Raw genomic sequence first — 20,352 nt, forward strand, 5'->3', positions numbered from 1 at the left:
GCATGCAAATAGCGTAGGGTACTTTGACTTCTCTTTTGTGTAGTATTTTATGCATAGTTTTCTTATGCCTTTTATAAATAAAAGATAGGCTAAAGCAGTTAGAAAGTATAGCAAACCATCCAGTGACAAAGTGATTTTTTTTTTTGAGACAGTGTCACTCTGTCACCCAGGCTGGAGTGCAGTGGCACGACTTTGGCTCACTGCAGCCTTGACCTTCAGGCTCAGGCAATCCTCCCACCTCAGCCCCTTGAGCAGCTGGGACTACAGGAGTGTGTCACCATGCCTGGGTAATTTTTGTATTTTTTGTGGAGACAGGGTTCCACCATGTTGCCCAGACTGGTCTGGAATTCCTGAGCTCAAGCTATCTGCCCAACCACCTCAGCATCCCAAAGTGCTAGGATTACAGGCGTGTGCCACCTGGCCTGAGGAAGTGATTTTTGCTTTTAAAATGAGAACAATTTCTGATTGGCTATGTTGGTAAATTGACATTTTTGGGGGGGGTGGGTGCGGGGGAACCAGGTCTTGTTTAAGATGTACCGGATACAACGTATTTAAAGGGCAAGAATCCTTTACGTTGGTACTTTATCAGAAAAAGTATAGTAGTACCTAGAGCAATACCACCCAAGAATGGTCTGTGATGATGGAAATACTGTGTATCCGCCCTGTCTGGTAGGACTAACCACATTGGCCAATGAACACTTGAAATGTGGCTAGTGCAACCGAGGAACTGAATTTTTAATCTTATTTAATAGTTTTTTTTGTTTTAAAAAATAATCATCTAGTAAAATAGACTTTTTTTGGGTATATAGTTCTATGAAATTTTTTTTTAGTTTTGTGAATGTTAACACATGTATAGATTTGTTTAACACCAACACAACCAGGACATAGCGCAGCCCTGTTACCCCTAAAAAACTCCCTCTTGCTACCATTTTCCCTACCTCTAACCCCTGGAAACCACTGTTCTGTTCTCCATCTTCCCCTTTAGTTGGAAAGTTTAAATTATTTACAGTCATTTTCTTAACCCTAAAATCACCTCAGGGGAGGGAAATTAAAGTTTAAAAGAGGCCTTCTTTAAAAACACAAGGACACAAAAGCCTTCATTTGATGGTGGCTACTCTTATATTGCATGTCTTTCAATACTATATGTCTCAACTATACGTGGTTTGACTATTCTGCATTTTTTTTTCATGGAAAATGTTATATAGTATTATCCAAAACCAAATATAATTTATTTCCCCACTTCTGTTTTGGATCATTTATGCTAGTGATTTCCTCCATCCCTAAGAACCAGCTAGCCAACTAGAATTATCAGAGTCTTAGAAACTTTCCATGCCATGGGTACATTTCACATTTTCACCCAAATACACAGTCATCAATTATCAAGCTAAAGGAAGAAATAAAAATATGTTCATTAAAATAAGTGAAAGATTTAACTATTGTAGACAATTTAAAGAGAGATTTTCTATGCTGAATTACTTTTAATTATAATTTTGAGTTTTTATTTTATAGAGCAAAGCTTTTCACTAGAAATTAATAACACCTATATTTAACTGCTTTTTTGAATATTAATATCCTATGGCCATCTCAAAAATCAATAGGTCCAGCACTGAATTTATCATCTCTCCTTTCCCTCCACTTTAACCTCTTAATTTCCTCCTGATTTCCTCCTCTCTTTCTGATATCAGTTAATGACGCCACCATCTATCTATCCACTGGCCCAAGCCAGATACCTTTAAGTCATCCTAGTCGTCTCCTTTATCCTATACATCTTGTTAGGAGGCCCTACCCTCCTGAATGTATCTTGGAGCTGCCTCTTTTATCTTTGCCCCCAGTATTCATGTCTTAATTCAGACCCTCTATTGCACTACTTTTGCAATTGCAGTAGCCTCCTAGCTGATAGTCCTCCCTCCTGTATCACTCCACCCTACTACACTATCATCTTCCACACTGCCTCCAGAATGATCCTTCTCTAAAATGAAAATCTAATCACATAATTCTCTGCTTAACTTTTCCATGGCTTCCTATTACCTATAGGATAAATCACAACCATTATTGGCATATAGAACCCCATAATAGAGCAGTTGCCTAATTTTCAAGCCTCTTATCTTTCTCTACTTTTTTGTTTCCATTCATCTGGAATTCTCTGCCTCATATATCCTTGCTGATTCCTGTTTGTCCTTTAACATTCAGGTATTATCTCTCCTAAGAATACTTTTCTGACCCATATTCCCAGGGATGAATGGGTATCCCTTTTCTGTATTCTCTGTCCTATTGTTCCTGTGACATGTTCAGCTTTGTATCCTGAGAATCCCAGTTCCTGACGCACATAATAAGTGCTCAATAAATATTAGTTGCTCAATGTTTAATTTTATATAATTCACTGCTGTTACGAAGAACTTTCCTATTTACTCGTATGATCCTTGTAATAGCCCTGGAAGATAATAGGGCATATTTTCTCATTTTTCAGATGGTAGAACTAATGGGTGTGGTTAGCTAATAAGTGGAGAATTGATGCTGGAACTTAAATCTTCTGACTCCCAACCCAGTATTTGTGTGTGTGTGTGTGTGTGTGTGTGTGTGTGTGTGTGTGTGTCTTCATCATGAATCTTTGTAAGATGTCAGCCAAAGAGATGCAATCATGACAGTAGTTAAATTATATGCAGTAACTAAGCTACAAGAATATAATCATTGTTTTATAATCTAATTGGGCAAAACAATAAAGATGTTCTTATTTTGAACAAAATTAATAGTATGCTCTAGTGACTTAGGGGGATATAGGAGTATATGCTATAAAATCCTATGAATACTGCCTTCACTCATAAACCGGCAGGCTTATACTTTTCTTGCCAACAAAGTTATCCTAATTGAACATTATTTTTATTTTTTTAAATTGACATATAATAGTTATACATATTTTTAGGAAATTGGACATTTTAAAATATTAAACTTCATATTACCTTTTATTTTTCTGTAGCTGATCCTGTTTCATGTATAACCTTTTCAGTTGGTAGAGTGTGAAGTGTTGGAGTAATTTATGAAAGGAATGGAAGGAAAGAGTAGTTTGTACTCTGTTGTGAAATTCTTGGGTGTGTTTGTCAATATACATGTTTCAAATGCCTGATAGGTACCACAGTCACATATGTCTGCATATATAACTTTACCATTCTTGTAGGTACACAAGACATTTTATGTTTCTTTCTAACAAGAAGAGTAAAAATGAAAACTAATAGGGAAACTCCATTAGATTGAGTTGTCTCACTCTTCTTGAATGTGGTGTGATGATTATTATTTTAAATCCTGTGTGATAGAATTTAATTAAACTGACTTTTGGAATTTCCTTCCAAAAGGTATCACTGGAAGAAAAAAATGCAACTATTATTTATGACCCTAAACTACAGACTCCAAAGACCCTACAGGAAGCTATTGATGACATGGGCTTTGATGCTGTTATCCATAATCCTGACCCTCTCCCTGTTTTAACTGACACCTTGTTTCTGACTGTTACGGCGTCACTGACTTTGCCATGGGACCATATCCAAAGCACATTGCTGAAGACCAAGGGTGTGACAGACATTAAAATTTACCCTCAGAAAAGAACTGTAGCAGTGACAATAATCCCTTCTATAGTGAATGCCAATCAGATAAAAGAGCTGGTTCCAGAACTCAGTTTAGATACTGGGACACTGGAGAAAAAGTCAGGAGCTTGTGAAGATCATAGTATGGCTCAAGCTGGTGAAGTCGTGCTGAAGATGAAAGTGGAAGGGATGACCTGCCATTCATGTACTAGCACTATTGAAGGAAAAATTGGGAAACTGCAAGGTGTTCAGCGAATTAAAGGTAATGTGTCTGGTGTTGATTGTTTTGTAAGGCTTAGGTGTCTGTTTTGATCTTTTAACTTTTTGCTTTCTTCTTAAGCATGAGTTTTGAATCCATGAGACTAGAGTGCTTGCTGTATCATTGAGGTACAGCATATTCCCAGGATTAAAAGTTAATGATTATAATTAAAGGTTACATAAACCTTGAACTGAAGAAAAGGCAGCTGGGTTGGCAATTCATGGAATTCAAGGTTCTTAACACAACATGACTAGGGTACTCTTTACCTCTAATATATTTTACTTAGGCATGGAGAAACTTGGAGACCATAGCTACAGTGGTCATATCTCTTACTTGTTTCTAGTCTATGCCAATAACATTTTCTGAAAAGAAAAAAAATTAAGAAAATATGATGACAAGAATGAGAGAGAAACAATTATTTGTGGTTATTGATTTAGAAAACAGAATGTTTTCTGAAGTAGCCCAGGAATAACTGAATTAATTATATTTCTTTTTATTAACTAGTCTCCCTGGACAATCAAGAAGCTACTATTGTTTATCAACCTCATCTTATCTCAGTAGAGGAAATGAAAAAGCAGATTGAAGCTATGGGCTTTCCAGCATTTGTCAAAAAGCAGCCCAAGTACCTCAAATTGGGAGCTATTGATGTAGAACGTCTAAAGAACACACCAGTTAAATCCTCAGAAGGGTCACAGCAAAGGAGTCCATCATATACCAATGATTCAACAGCCACTTTCATCATTGATGGCATGCATTGTAAATCATGTGTGTCAAATATTGAAAGTACTTTATCTGCACTCCAATATGTAAGCAGCATAGTAGTTTCTTTAGAGAATAGGTCTGCCATTGTGAAGTATAATGCAAGCTCAGTCACTCCAGAATCCCTGAGAAAAGCAATAGAGGCTGTATCACCGGGGCTATATAGAGTTAGTATCACAAGTGAAGTTGAGAGTACCTCAAACTCTCCCTCCAGCTCATCTCTTCAGAAGATTCCTTTGAATGTAGTTAGCCAGCCTCTGACACAAGAAACTGTGATAAACATTGATGGCATGACTTGTAATTCCTGTGTGCAGTCTATTGAGGGTGTCATATCAAAAAAGCCAGGTGTAAAATCCATACGAGTCTCCCTTGCAAATAGCAATGGGACTGTTGAGTATGATCCTCTACTAACCTCTCCAGAAACGTTGAGAGGAGCAATAGAAGACATGGGATTTGATGCTACCTTGTCAGGTAATTATCATTTTTTCTTTGATTACCCTAATGTTCTTTTACTTCCATTTTGCTGCTTCTTTTGGCATTTATCAATGAGAAATGATTCATAGGCACTGTAATTCCACTTTTGCAAATATGTCCTATGGAGGTAGCCAGCAGTATATACAAAGATGCATAAGGATGTTTGTATAATTGCTTATGATATTTAAAAACTGGAAACAATAACTCGTGGTGCAACAATAAATAACTCATGATGAAATGCTATGAAGTCATAAAACATTATGGTATTAAAGATAATTAATGCCACAGGAAGGTGTCTGAGGTATTTTGTTAAATGAAAAAAAGCTGAAAAGCTATATATACAATGTGATCAAAATTTTATAAAGAAATGTATCTGAATTTACGCCATGTATATATTGTTTATGTATATGAATAAGATTCCTGGTAGGATATGAACCAAAATTTTAACAGTGATTATCTTTGGGTGGTAGGATAAATGTGATTTTTGTTTCCATTGTGTTTCCTGGTTTTATAAGTTGTTTTTACAATAAGAATGTATGTATGTAGCTATGTATTTATATAATGGGGGAAGCCAGTGCTCTTTTAAAAACAAAAGTAGTTGAAATAAATAATAGGATTTTAACTATAATTTTATATTTAGGCATTCAAATTAAACTGACTCCAGAGCTGTCCCAAAGTTTTCGTATTTCCTGACAGCTCTTACCTTTGAACTGAAACAAAAAATGTATATTCAATGGAATTTAATTATGTGAAATTGTTCTTTTGAACCAGAATTGAACCTGGCCTTGAATTAAACTGGAAAATGCCCAAATGAAATTTTTTGCTTGAAATAACAATTGAAACGTTTTACAACCAATTTCTGGACAATATAATTAATCTTTGCTATCCTGATTAGAATGAAAGATATCAAATAGTAGTATTCCCTTTTTAGGCTCACTAAATCTGAGTAAAAAATTTTACTAAACACATGTCTAAATTGTTATGGTAGATTAATGTCAGTGAGAGAGGACTTAGAGACATACCATTATTAATTTTTAGTTCTTAATTTTTCTGTTGGTGACAAATGGTAGAAATTATAGAATTCTCACTTTTTAAAATTGACACATAGTTCACATACCATAAAATTTGCCCATTTAAGGTACACAACCCAGTGGTTGTTAGTATACTTACAGAGTTTTCCAGCCATCATCACTATATAATTTTAGAACTTTTTATCACTCCCAAAAGAAATCACATATCCATTAGCAGTCATTGCCCATTTCTCCTTCCCCTCCCCAAGCTCCTGATAACAACTGTTCTACTTTCTGTCTCTGAATTTGACTATTCTAGGGACATCATTTAAGTGGAATCATACAACATTTGTCCTTTTGTGCCTGAATTATTTTATTTAGCATAATGTTTTCAAGGTCCATCCATGTTGTAGTATGTATTAGAACATCATTCCTTTTTATTGCTGAATATTATTCCATTGTATGGATATATCACATTTTTGTTTTTTCATTCAACAGTTGATGGGAATTTGGATTGTCTCCACTCTCTTGCCTATTATGTATAACACTGCTATGAACAATTTGAGTTCAAATTTTTGTATGAACATATGTTTTTATTTCTCCTGGGTATATATCTAGGAGTGGAATTGCTGGGTCACATGGCAGCTAAACTTTTTGAGGGACTGCCAGACTGTTTTTCAAAGTAGCTGTTCCATTTTACATTACCATCTCAAATTCTCACTCTAATGTAGAAAATCTCAATTTTTTGAGATTTTTAAATTAGAATCTGGCCTGGTACGGTAGCTCACAACTGTAATCCTAGCACTTTTGGAGGCTGAGGCAGGCAGACCACTTGACCCCAGAAGTTCGAGACCAGCCTTGGTAACATGATGAAACCCCGTCCCTACAAAAAATACAAAACATCAGCTGGGCATGGTGACACACACCTGTAGTCCCAGCTACTCAGCGGGCTAAGGTGGGAGGATTGCTTAAGCCCGGAAGTCAAGGCTGCAGTGAGCCGTGATCGTGTCACTGTACTCCAGCCTGGGTAACAGAACAAGACCCTGTCTTTAAAAAAATAGATTTTAGATTAGAATCTAATCTAAAAAATTAGATTCTTTTTTTTTTTTTTGAGACGGAATCTTGTTCTGTCACCCAGGCTAGAGTGCAGTGGCATGATCTCAGCTCACTGCAACCTTGGCCTCCCAGGTTCAGACAATTCTCCTGCCTCAGCCTCCTGAGTAGCTGGGATTACAGGCGCCTGACACCATGCCTGGCTAATTTTTGTATTTTTAGTAGAGATGGGGTTTCACCATTTTGGTCAGGCTGGTCTTGAACTCCTGACCTCGTGATCCACCGGCCTTTGCTTCCCAAAGTGTTGGGATTACAGGCGTGAGCCACCATGCCTGGCCTTTAGATTCTTTTGCTCTAAAAAAGAGATACATAGTTCTCTATTAGAAAATTCATACAGAACACTAAAATGTTAAAGGGACTCTAGTACCAAAAGTCTGAACGAAGTGTAGGAAATCCATAATTGCTGAAGGAAATAATTATGAAACCAGAAGAAAAATTTAAGTTGGAAATAAGTGCAGTTATATCAGGGAGCCATAAAAATGACTAAAATTGGTTTCAGCAAAATTTCATTTTACCTATCACCACTTAATTTTTTTTTTCTTTTTGAGATGGAGTCTTGCTCTTTCACCCAGGCTGAAGTGCAATGGCATGATCTCGGCTCACTGCAACCTCTGTGCCCCGGGTTCAAGCAATTCTCCTGCCTCAGCCTCCTGAGTAGCTGGGATTACAGGTGCACGCCACCATGCCCAGCTAATTTTTTTGTATTTTTAGTAGAGACAGGGTTTCACCATGTTGGTCACGCTGGTCTTGAACTCCTGACCTCAGGTGATCTGCCCGCCTCGGCCTCCCAGAATGCTGGGATTACAGGCGTGAGCCACTGTACCTGGCCCACTTACATTTTTTTAAATTTTTGAAAATGACAGTGTTTGAAATTATATTGATTCACATTTCACTACTTCATAATGTTGGATTATTTCTCAGAGCTTCTATTAAATTAAAATACTTTGATATGCATAATGGATTATGTTGTCAATAATGAGCACCACATAAATTAGTTATATCAGTATCACCAAAACAAGTTACTTACATTATAATATTCCTATGCCTCTTACATATAGGAACACAATTATAATCATCTTACATCACATATGGTATAAAACTGAAATATTTTTCATGTTCAAATGTGGTATCTGTCATTACAGTAAGCAAGGGCATCATAAACTTTCAGATTGGATTCAAAAACAGAATTTTTTTCTATTCACTTGGGTTTATATTTTTGCAACTCACATTTTTGCAAGTGTGGTTCACAGACCAGCAGCACCTAGGACCTTGTTAGAAATCAGACTCTGGCCCACTGCAGACCCAGTAAATCAAATTCTACATTTTAATTTTAATGAGCTCTCCAGGTAATCCATTTGCACATTAAAGTTTGAGAACACTGATCTACATAATGTGATTCATTGACCTTTAAATTCTAAATTAAATCTACATTAACTTTGTTTACATAAACAAGTCCAGAAATTTGATTGAAGGCAATAATATCAGTCATAACAACATTTCGATCAACAATGGACCACATAGACGATGGTGGTCCCGTAAGATTATAATGGAGCATATATAGAAACCTCATATAAGGCATTTGATATTGGCATAGCAGATCAAGTAGGAGAAATGATTGATATTCATTAATGGTGCTAGGACATTTGGTGTTCCATCTGAAAAAATATATATAAATACAAATATAAAGAGCATCTAGTTTTGTGTAAGTACACTCTATGATGTTCACACAATGATGAAATTGCCTAAAGCATTTTTCAGAACATATTTCCATCGTTTAAGTGACTCATGACTGTATAATATTAAATATTATAATTTAAAATAGCTAGCATTTTTTTAGGAGAAAAGCCATATAAATTTATTTGATCATAGTTTTACATGACATGGGAGCCTTCAGAATGAAGACCCAAAGATACAGGAGAAACTGCCCATTTTTGTGCTTAGATTTAGCACAATATGGATAGCTAAAATAGCTAGCATTTTATTATTATTATTATTATTGGAGACAGAGTTGCACTCTGTTGCCCAGGCTGGAGTGCAATGGCGCAATCTCGGCTCACTGTAACCTCTGCCTCCCGGGTTCAAGCAATTCTCCTGCATCAGCCTCCTGAGTTGCTAGGATTACAGGCGCATGCCACCATGCCCGGCTAATTTTTGTATTTTTAGTAGAGACAGGGTTTCGCCTTGTTGGCCAGGCTGGTCTTGAACTCCTGACCTCAGGTGATCTGCCTGCCTCAGCCTTCCAAAATGCTAGGATTACAGGTGTGAGCCACAGTGCCCAGCCAAAAAAGCTAGCATTTTATGAAGGTTTATATAACAAATGTGAGCAGAGTAAAAGCAACTTTTCAATTACCTTAGCTGATCAAACTAGTAAATGGAATTCAAGAGTACTTGATCAGTCTCTGGCACCATGTATAGCATCTACCTAGTCCTTAGGAACTATGACTGCAGCAAGTTCAGTAACTTTTTTTTTTTTGAGACACAATCTCGCTCTGTTGCCCAGGCCGGAGTGCAGTGGCACGATCACAGCTCACTGCAGCCTTAATTTCCGGGGCTTAAGCGATCTTCCCACCTCAGCCTCCTGAGTGGCTGGGACTATAGGCGTGTACCACCACACCCGGCTAATTTTTTTCTATTTTTTGTAGAGATGGAGTCTCAGTTTGTTGCCTAGGCTGGTCTCAAACTCCTGGGCTCAAGCAGTCCACCCACCTTGGCCTCCCAAAGTGCTGGGATTACATGTTTGAGCCACCATGCCTGGCCTCAGTAACTTTTAACAATGTCTTTTACCTCAACCTACTATTGTTAAGGGCCCCGGGAATCAATTATTCAACAAATGATTATCAGGAGCCAGTTATATGCCCTGCATCTGTTAGGGCTTATAACATACATACTAATGGCCATGATGGGTAGGTAAAAAACCTTGGCATAGTGAATGTCACCATAAAAGAATTGATAGAGCTTAACTACAGTGACCCATATTATCGGGACATGAAGTGACTGCATTCTGTGATTCTGCTAGAGATTAGAGTTTAAGATTTCACCAGAATTGTAACTACCCATTTTTTAAGTGTAAGTGTCAGTGCTGATCCAGGTCTCACAGCCTACTTCTGCCACCCATTCTCAGACAGAAGGATTGACACATTTTGCCTTTGTATCATACTAGTCCTAGGTGAGCTATAAATCTTAAAAGAGGTAGTGAGAAGCCAGACGCAGTGGCTTACGCCTGTAATCCCACGACTTTGGGAGGCCGAGGCAGGTGGATCACCTGAGGTCAGGAGTTCGAGACCAGCCTGGCCAACATGGTGAAACCCTGTCTCTATTAAATATACAAAAAAAATTAGCCGGGCGTGGTGGTGGGCGCCTGTAATCCCAGCTACTCGGAAGGCTGAGGCAGGAGAAACGCTTGAACGTGGGAGGCGAAGGTTGCAGTGAGCCGAGATTGCGCCACTGCACTGCAGCTGGGTGACAAGAGCGAGACTCCATCTCAAAAAAAAAAAAAAAAAAAAAGAGGTAGTGAGAAAAATGGGAGATGCCTTTTATCCTGACTATCTGTATTATCGTTTCCTTAAAGTAAAAAGGCATGATATATGAAGTAATCACTAACCAATTAAAGCAATCTAAATACTTGATTAAATTCCTTCCATTTTGTGACTTTTTATTTTTGTTTGTTTGTTTGTTTTGCGAAGGAGTCTTGCTCTGTCGCCCAGGCTGGAGTGCAGTGGCACAATCTTGGCTCACTGCAACCTCCGCCTCCCGGGTTCAAGCGATTCTCCTGTCTCAGCCTCCCAAGTAGCTGGGATAACAGGCTCACGCCACCATGCCCGGCTAATTTTTGTATTTTTTTTAGTAGAGACGGGGTTTCACCATGTTGGCCAGGCTGGTCTCCATCTCCTGATCTTGTGATCCACCCGCCTCGGCCTCCCCAAGTGCTGGGATTACAGGCGTGAGCCACCGTGCCCAGCCGTGACTTTTTATTTTTAACTAATTTCAAGCTTACAAAAAAACTGCAAGAAATAGTAGAGAATTCCTGTTTACCAATTTCATGCAGGTTCCACAGTTAATATTTTACATCGTTTATCATTCTCTCTTAATAGATAGATATACATTTATATATATATATACACACACACATACATACATTTTTTTCTGAACTATTTGAGAGTAAGCTGCAGACATGATGTTTATGATTATTTTAAAGCCATTTTTAGATTATTTATGTATTCTTCACACTACACCAGAGGCTGAACTTCACATCGGTTTTGAGTATCAGACTGGAAATTCTTTCTTGAAATATTTGGAATCATTTGTAGTTGTTGCCTCAAGTGCAGGAAAATCAATTTTCCTTTGAATTTATTTAAAAGTTTAAGTAGTGTTGTTACAGCCTGTAGAAAAATTAAAATTAAAATTAAAAAATTAAAATTCATTGTGACCTTTTCACACCCTTACTGTCTCTGTGGAGGATGAAGAAGGCTTTGCTCTTTTGCTTGCCACACTCACAGAGCTAAAGGATACAATTTTATGGATCTTTATTTAGAGGTCATGCTAAGGTAGCTAAAAGGGACTACCTCTTATGACTTATTTTAATATAATACTGTATTTCCAGAGTGTGAAAATTACAGATGGTATTCCAGGTTACCTCTGGTACCTAAAATAACGAAATTGCTCTGGAACAACAGGTAAAGTGATGAACAGAAAAAACTTTTTTTTTCATTGTCCAAGTTCATAATTAAGTCTCAATAGTAATTATGAGAGAATGAAGGAACCTTCTGGTTGGATTAAAATGGTGGTTTTATTCAAAACCAAAGTGATTTTTTTTTTGGCTACTCAGCCTCCTTTTTGTTTTTCTTTGGTTTTTAAAAAAGCATAACAGCAGTACTATTTGGTAAATTTCACAGTCTGTGTTCTAAATAAAGTTCTCACAATCTGAATCAGTATCTTTCTGAAGTGATTCAATTAAGACCAGAGACAGGCTAATTAAGGAACACTTTACTATTCAAAGTGTCCTTTGCTGGAATCATCCAAAATCCAAACCTCAGTGTCATGTGGTGTTCCCATGTGACAGACTTGTACACGTACCTCCTGAATCTAAAATAAAAGTTGAAATTATTTTTTTAAAGTGTCCTTTGCTATACTCAGACCTAGGCTGGCAGCACTGCCATCAACTCAGAGCTTGGTGGAAATGCAGAATCTCAGACCCTACCTTAGATGTATTGAGTCAGAACCTGCATTTTAACAAGCTCCCCCAGGTGATTGTGTATGCATTCAGATTTAAGAGGCATTAATATACTTATTTGAGAAGTCTACATTATTCTGTAGGGAAGTGGTCAGGCTTTTGTTAAAGTTTCTTCCAAACTTGCTCATCTTCAACATCCTGAAAACCAGCTCTTCTGTGCAGGGGTTCCTTTGTCTGCTAGCTAAATAGACATGAGCTGGTATTTTGTCCAAGGACAAGAATGAACAAATTAGATAGACTAGTGGAAATTTGCTCTTTTCTTCCTTTTCTCTACAGGGGAGGAGAAAATCTTTGGCTTTTTTTTTTTTCAGGTGCAGGGATGTGTTAGAATAATTTCTCCTTTCTTGGGAGGTAACTAATACTGCAGTGGATAAACTAAAACAAAATAGCAGAATTTCAGAGACTTCAGGGGAGCTTCTGGGATGATATGAGCTTCCACAGTCCATAAAGATTCTCTGAATACTCCATTGTGCAAAATAGACTTTTTGCTGACTTATTCCTTGCCTCTTCTTCCACTGTCCACAGACATATTAAAATTTAAAAATATTATATATGTATGTTAAAAATTCAAACAATATAGAAGTATAGATAGAGGAAATTTATTCATCTGTCTGTCATTCTATTCCTGCCTTAACCCTATTCCCCAGAAGTAGCCACTGTTAATAGTTTGGTATGTAACCCCCCCGCCCAGCTTTCTTATGCATGTTCTCATCTATGCATACACTAAAATTAAAAAAAAAAATCAGCACACTGCAATGCTGTTTTGCAAATTGCTTTTTGTTCCACTTAATATACTGTGAATTGCTTTGATGCCAGTATGCCAATCATCAACATGATGGTAAAATTTCATTATAAAAATAAGAACTATCCATTAACAAACTACTCTGTCTCTCAGATTGGGAGTAGAGATAATGGCTAGAAGAAAAAAAGTTTTGTTTATTCAGGTAGCTCAGATTTTCCTGGGAATTGGGATGGGAAGTATTGAAATTGGAAGTCACTGCGGAGGAAAGTGTAGAGATAACTTAATGCTAACGGATAGTAGGAACTTGCTCGTTTTAAAGGAATAGATTGTCAGTGCCTGGAGGTATGGATTGTGATGCAAGGCAAGGATGCAATTGAATGATCAATACTGCAAATGAAAAGAATCTTTCCCTTTCTACCAGACACGAATGAGCCGTTGGTAGTAATAGCTCAGCCTTCATCGGAAATGCCGCTTTTGACTTCAACTAATGAATTTTATACTAAAGGGATGACACCAGTTCAAGACAAGGAGGAAGGAAAGAATTCATCTAAGTGTTACATACAGGTCACTGGCATGACTTGCGCTTCCTGTGTAGCAAACATTGAACGGAATTTAAGGCGGGAAGAAGGTGAGACACTCTTGAAGCTTGTTATTTTATGTGCTAGTTTGGGAGCTCCATCTTTTTTGTTCTCTTACATGTTTTGTAACTATGTTATGATTCTTGGTAAGGCCTCATAAAGATTTTCAGTAATGTGTGGGACAACCCCGATGTCCTGGAAGCCTTAGTGTTTTGCTGCCTTAGATAAAGTTCCTCTCTTGTTTACCTCATGATCACATTTGTATATCTATGAAATTCGTTAAAAAAAAATAGCAGAAAGAAATACACGAGATTACTATTTTTTATAGATCAATCATGGTTGTGTTGGATTTTAAGGAACATAATTTTTTTTTTTTTTTTGAGACCGAGTCTTGCTCTGTCGCCCAGGCTGGAGTGGAGTGGCGCGATCTCGGCTCACTGCAACCTCTGCCTCCTGGGTTCAAGCGATCCTTCTGCCTCAGCCTCCCAAGTAGATGGGACTACAGGCATGCACCACCACGCCCAGCTAATTTTTGTATTTTTAGTAGAGATGGGGTTTCACCATGTTGGCCAGGCTGATCTCAAACTCCTGGCATCAGGTGATCCACCCACCTTGGCCTCCCAAAGTGCCAGGATTACAGGCGTGAGCCACCACACACGGCCCATAAATTTTCTTCTAAAGCTATGCCTAAAACTGACAAATAGAATATTTAAGAATTTCATTATTACTATACCCAGACCAAGCACCAGACCAAAAACAAGTTTGTTTAGAATTATATTTTTCTCTTTGCTTGTGGTAAAAATGTTCACAAGTTACTTAATATTGTATACAAGTGTTAATTTTAGGTTACACAATCTTAGAAAATGTATACCACAGTTTTTTAAATTCAGTCACACTCAGATGTTTTAGCTTATTAATTTGCACTCATATTTATAGACTTCCCAGTATAGCACAGTAGATTTGTTAACCATAAAGATATGTGATGATGGCCAGGCACGGTGACTCACACCTGTAATCCCAGCACTTTGGGAGGCCGAGGTGGGCGGATCGCCTGAGGTCAGGAGTTCAAGACCAGCCGGGCCAACATGGTGAAACCCCATCTCTACTAAAAATACAAAAATTAGCTGGGTGTAGTGGCGCATGCCTGGAGTCCCAGCTACTTGGGAGGCTGAGGCAGGAGAATCTCTTGAACCTGAGAGGCGGAGGTTGCAGTGAGCTGAGATCGTGCCAGCCACTGCACTCCAGCCTGTGCAACAGGGCAAGACTCCATCTCAAAAAAAAAAAAAAAAAAGATATGTGATGAGGTTTCATGAGATCAAAGTCATAGATTTGGTACTTTGGCTGCCCTAGCCCTAGGTGTCTTAATGATACATATGGTTAGTCACAGAGCTAAATAAAGAAGTATGGACTAGTATAAGCTTATCCCCACCATTGAGAAAATTACTCAAAATGTATGTAGTAATCACCTCACCTCATATATTAAGGGCAGAACATTATTATAATAAAATGTATGGTATACGGAGTCATCTTCAGTTCAATATTACCTTGTCTGCATTCTATGATTTCTGCTTCAGTTTAGCCTCCATTATTTCTAACTGGAATGCACTCAAGGCTAAAGCTTCTATTATTCTTTTTTTAGATTAATTAAAAAAGAAAAGGAGGGAGGTTGCCAAGCAAATGAAAATGAAAAGAAGCATTCAAGGTTTCTATTTAATTTAAGAACCAACTATTTTGGGGCAATTCAGAAATAGCTTTCTTCATGAGACAAGCAATGCCTATGCCAGTTACAATTTTTTTTAAGTCTGTTAAGCTGATTTTTCCAATTACTTCCATATTATCCCCTTTACAACCTCTTAGCCCAGTTAGAAATAACTTTAGCCTAGCTGGAGTCACTACATTCATTTTGTTTTTAACTAAGTAGCATTGGTCTTCTCTCAATTTAGTCTGCAACATACATATATATTTATATATATTTTATAATATATGTTATATATAAATATATAAATGTATATTAATATAATATATAAATATATATGTAATTTATATTTTGAGACAAATCGCACTCTGTTGCCCAGGCTGGAGTGCAGTAGGACCATCTCAGCTCACTGCAGCGTCTACCTCCTGGGTTCAAGCGATTTTCCTGCCTTAGCCTCCCTAGTAGCTGGGACTACAGGTGTATGCCACCATGCCTGGCTAATTTTTGTATTTTTAGTAGAGACAGAGTTTCACCATGTTGGCCAGGCTGGTCTTGAACTCCTGACCTCAAGTGATCCACCCATCTGAGCCTCCCAAAGTGCTAGGATTACAGGCATGGGCCACCACACCTGGCCCTGCGTTATATTTTTAAAAAATGAACAGAAAGAGTTCTTATTATAGTTTGAAGAGTTTTTTTAAATTATCTGCAATTTACATAAGTATTGAACTTATGTTTTTGACATTTGAAAAATCAAATTTTCCCTTCTATTTCTGTTTGCCCATAGATTACATTCAGCTGAAGCAAAAAGATTTTTTCCTACTTTCTCTATACCTTTCCTATATTACTGACACTTTCCCATTAACTGATCACCTGAATTGTTTGATACCAACAAAGCCCAAAATGTAAGCACTTTATATAGAAAAATTAGATTATATTAGGTATTTTTTCTTTTTTTCACTGTGTATACGTTTATCTACTTTTTTAATTTTTAATTTTTGTGAGTATATAATAGGTATATATATTTATAGGTTACATGAGATGTTTTGATACAAACATGCAATGCATAATAATCACATCATGGAAAATGGGGTATCCATCTCTTCAAGCATTTATCCTTGTGTTATAAACAATTCAATTATATTCTGTTACTTTTAAATGTACAATTAAATTATGATTGACTATAGTCACACTGTTGTGCCATCAAATACTAGGTCCTATTCATTCTTTTTATTTGTACCCATTAACCATCCCCACTTCCCCTTACAACCCCCACTATCCTGTTTACTTATTTAAAGCTATTAAATTAATATTTAATCATTTTTTCTTTTTTTATCAAACCTCAGACTTGACCTATGGACTGTTGATCCCCATTCCCTGTCAGGTAGCCATCAAATGCCACAGAATCCTAGAAAGAACTTCTATTTTTGCTATGTAGAATTAATTTTCTTCCTGGCAATGACAGCAATAGCTGGCCTAGAAAAGTGGAATGGTTGTTAAAAAAAAAAAGGTTTGCACTAGTGAACAGCATGACTGCCATAAAATGAACTCCTTTTTTTGGTTAACAAGTTGCGTGGGACTTTTTTTCTAGGAATAAGAGCTTTTTAGATTACTGTGTGCCAGACACTAAAACCTGATAATTTAAATAAATGACTATTATTTGATAATATTATAATGTGTATGTTGGTATATTATTGGATTCTTTGCTACAATTATGATTTCATAAGTGCATGAGTTCCTTTCTCTATTTTTTTTTTTTTGAGACAGGATCCTACTCTGTCACACATGGTGCATTGCAGTGGCATGAACACTGCTTACTGCAGCCTCCACCTCCCAGGGTCAAGTGATCTTCCCACCTCAGCTTCCTGAGTAACTGAGACCACAGGCATGCACCACCATGCCCAGCTAATTTTTGTATTTTTTTTTTTTTTTTTTGTAGAGACAGGGTTTTGCCATATTGCCCAGGCTGGTGTCGAACTCCTGGACTCAAGCGATCTGCCCTCCTCGGCCTCCCGAAGTTCTGGGATTGCAGGCATGAGCCGTCATGCCCAGCCGAGTCCCTTTCTCTAGTACTCTGTCTTATTAATTTCTAAAAATGCTTTATATTTACAAGATACAGTCTCAAGCAATTTCAATTCATAGGCCTAATTTGCATCCAAGTCAAACAAAAAACTGTTGAACTAGTAAACAGTTATAAGACAATTTTAAAAATGTGAATACTGCCTGGATATTTGATGATATTGAAGAATTATTTTAGGTGTGAAAATGGTATTATGGTTTTTTAAAAAGAGTCTATTTTTTAGAGATACATATTTAAATATTTACACATGAAATGATGTGATGTCTGGGACTTGCTTCAGCATAATCCAGGTAGAGAGCAGCGAGTGGAGGGTGTAGGAATGTATATGAAATAAGATTAGCCAAGTATTATGAAGCAAGGTGATAGGTACGTCAAGTTTATTATGTTCTTATACACACACACACACACACACACACACACACACACACACACACACATAATTGAAAATTTCCATAATAAAAAGTTTAAGAAAAATCAGGCTATGTTTTGGAATAGTTCTAATTGTTTGGGGTCAAGACTGGTATAAAAGTTAAATTTCTCCAGATTCAAATCCTTTAATACTTAAGAGAAATCCTTTCATACTTGATAATACTAAGAAGTAATTATAACATTACTCTTTTTAAAAAGAATGTTATCTGTATTGTTTTTCTTATCAATGCTCTTAGGAATATATTCTATACTTGTGGCCCTGATGGCTGGCAAGGCAGAAGTAAGGTATAATCCTGCTGTTATACAACCCCCAATGATAGCAGAGTTCATCCGAGAACTTGGATTTGGAGCCACTGTGATAGAAAATGCTGATGAAGGAGATGGTGTTTTGGAACTTGTTGTAAGTAAGATTTTTTGTGTGATTAATAAAACTTCCAGAAAAAAAACTTGGTAAGGTTCAGAGAAGAGTTGTGAAGATAATTAAAGGTGGGGAAAATATTATGAAAATTAAGGAAACTGGAAAATGGAAGGATAAGGTATGATCTAATGGTACTCTTCAAGCATGGAATTTAAAAAGATAATTGTCGTATCTCTGTTAACCAAAAAAGAATTGGGTATGAATGAATAAATGAAAATTAACATTTAAAATATAATATGATTCCTATCTAGTAGCATGTAATTGAATAAATTCCAGTGCATTAAAGACTCAAATTTTATAAAGTCATAAAACCTGTGTAAGGCATATTGATTTAAAGTGATCACTTTCTCCAACCCAGCAAATCAGCTGCTAGGATTCTTTCCTGTGGAAATATGATCATATAGGGCTGGGCATGGTGGCTCACACCTGTAAATCCCAGCACTTTGGGAGGCTGAGGTGGGTGGATTAGTTGAGGTCAGGAGTTCGAGACCAGCCCAGCCAACATGGTGAAACCCCATCTCTATGAAAAATACAAAAATTAGCCAGGTGTGATGGTGTGCTCCTGTAGTCCCAGCTACTTGGGAGGCTGAGGCATGAGAATCACTTAAACCCAGGCGGCGGAGGTTGCAGTGAGCTGAGATCACACCACTGCACTCCAGCCTGGGTGACAGAATGAGACTTTGTTTTTTTAAAAAAAGGAATGTGAACATTCATAAGATTATATTTATTATATAATTTTAAGAGCAAAAATTTAGAACCAATCTATATTAAATGTCCTTTAATAGGGAATGTTTAAATAAATTCTGTATAGACATATTATAGAATACAATACAGATGTTAAAAGAGTAAAATAGATCAATATTAACTGACAAGTAAAGATTTCCAGGATGTATTATTTACTTAAGCAAAACAAGTTGCAGTGTAATACTTATGGCATAATCTCATTTAGTAAAAAATGCAAAACTACATGTATGTGTACTTACATATGTATATAAACACCTAGAGAAAGGACTAGTATATACACATGATTAACACTGTTTATCTCAGGAAGAGAGCGGGATTGAGGGAGAAGATCAAAGAGAAACTTGCATCTTTTCAACATTGAAATTTTTACAGCTAGAATGTATTTAAATTTATTTGTATAACTTAAAAAATTAAAACAAAAAATCTTGTACCAAAATAAGTTCCAGTTTAAGCAAAAATTCAAATGTAGGCTGGGTGTGGTGGCTCACGCCTGTAATCTCAGCATTTTGGGAGGCCGAGGTGGGAGGATCACTTGAGCCCAGGAGTTCACGACCAGCCCAGGCAACAGGTGAAACCCCGCCTCTACAAAAAGTAAAAATTTAGGCCAGTCATGGTGGCTCACGCCTGTAATCCCAGCACTTTGGGAGGCCGAGGTGGGTAGATCACTTGAGGTCAGGAGTTCAAGACCAGCCTGACCAACATGGTGAAACCCCGTGTCTACTAAAAATACAAAAATTAGCTGGGTGTGGTGGCATGCGCCTGTAATCCCAGCTACTCGGGAGGCTGAGGCATGAGAATTGTTTGAACCTGGGAGGCAGAGGTTGCACTGAGCCAAGACTGCGCCACTGCACTCCAGCCTGGGCGACACAGTGAGATTCCATCTCAAAAAATAAAAAAATAAAAATAAAAATAAAAAATTTAAAAAGTAAATATTTAGCCAGGTGTGGTGGTGTGCATCTGTAGTCCCAGCTACTTGGGAGGCTGAGGTGGGAGGATTGCTTGAGCCTGGGAGGTTGAGGCTGCAGTGAGCTGTGTTCATGCCACTGCATTCCAGCCTAGGTGACAGAGTGAGACATTGCCTGCCTCCCAAAATTGAATGTAAACAATGAAACCATGAAATTACTAGAAGAAATATTTGGAGCATTTTTTTTCAATATTATGAAACTTTCGGACATACAGAAAAGTCAGAAGAATTGTACAGTAGATATCCTATATACACCAGCTAGATTCTACAATTAATACTTTACT

General features: G+C 37.3%; 1 protein-coding gene across 3 annotated transcripts in view; it reads left to right on the forward strand.

Annotated features, from left to right (window-relative positions):
- ATP7A (ATPase copper transporting alpha) overlaps positions 1 to 20,352 on the forward strand; it is a 139,703-nt gene that overhangs the window by 74,202 nt on the left and 45,149 nt on the right. For 2 of the 3 annotated variants that reach the window (NM_000052.7, NM_001282224.2), the window contains exons 3-6: positions 3,348 to 3,837; positions 4,339 to 5,064; positions 13,584 to 13,790; positions 18,179 to 18,342. The exons of the other annotated variant lie outside the window; for it this stretch is intronic. In NM_000052.7, the coding sequence (NP_000043.4) occupies positions 3,348 to 3,837; positions 4,339 to 5,064; positions 13,584 to 13,790; positions 18,179 to 18,342 (1,587 nt within the window). The remainder of the gene's footprint in view (positions 1 to 3,347; positions 3,838 to 4,338; positions 5,065 to 13,583; positions 13,791 to 18,178; positions 18,343 to 20,352) is intronic. 3 annotated transcript variants of the gene reach the window in all.

Source organism: Homo sapiens, chromosome X, assembly GCF_000001405.40.
Source record: "Homo sapiens chromosome X, GRCh38.p14 Primary Assembly".
In the NCBI taxonomy this organism is placed as follows: Eukaryota; Metazoa; Chordata; class Mammalia; order Primates; family Hominidae; genus Homo; species Homo sapiens.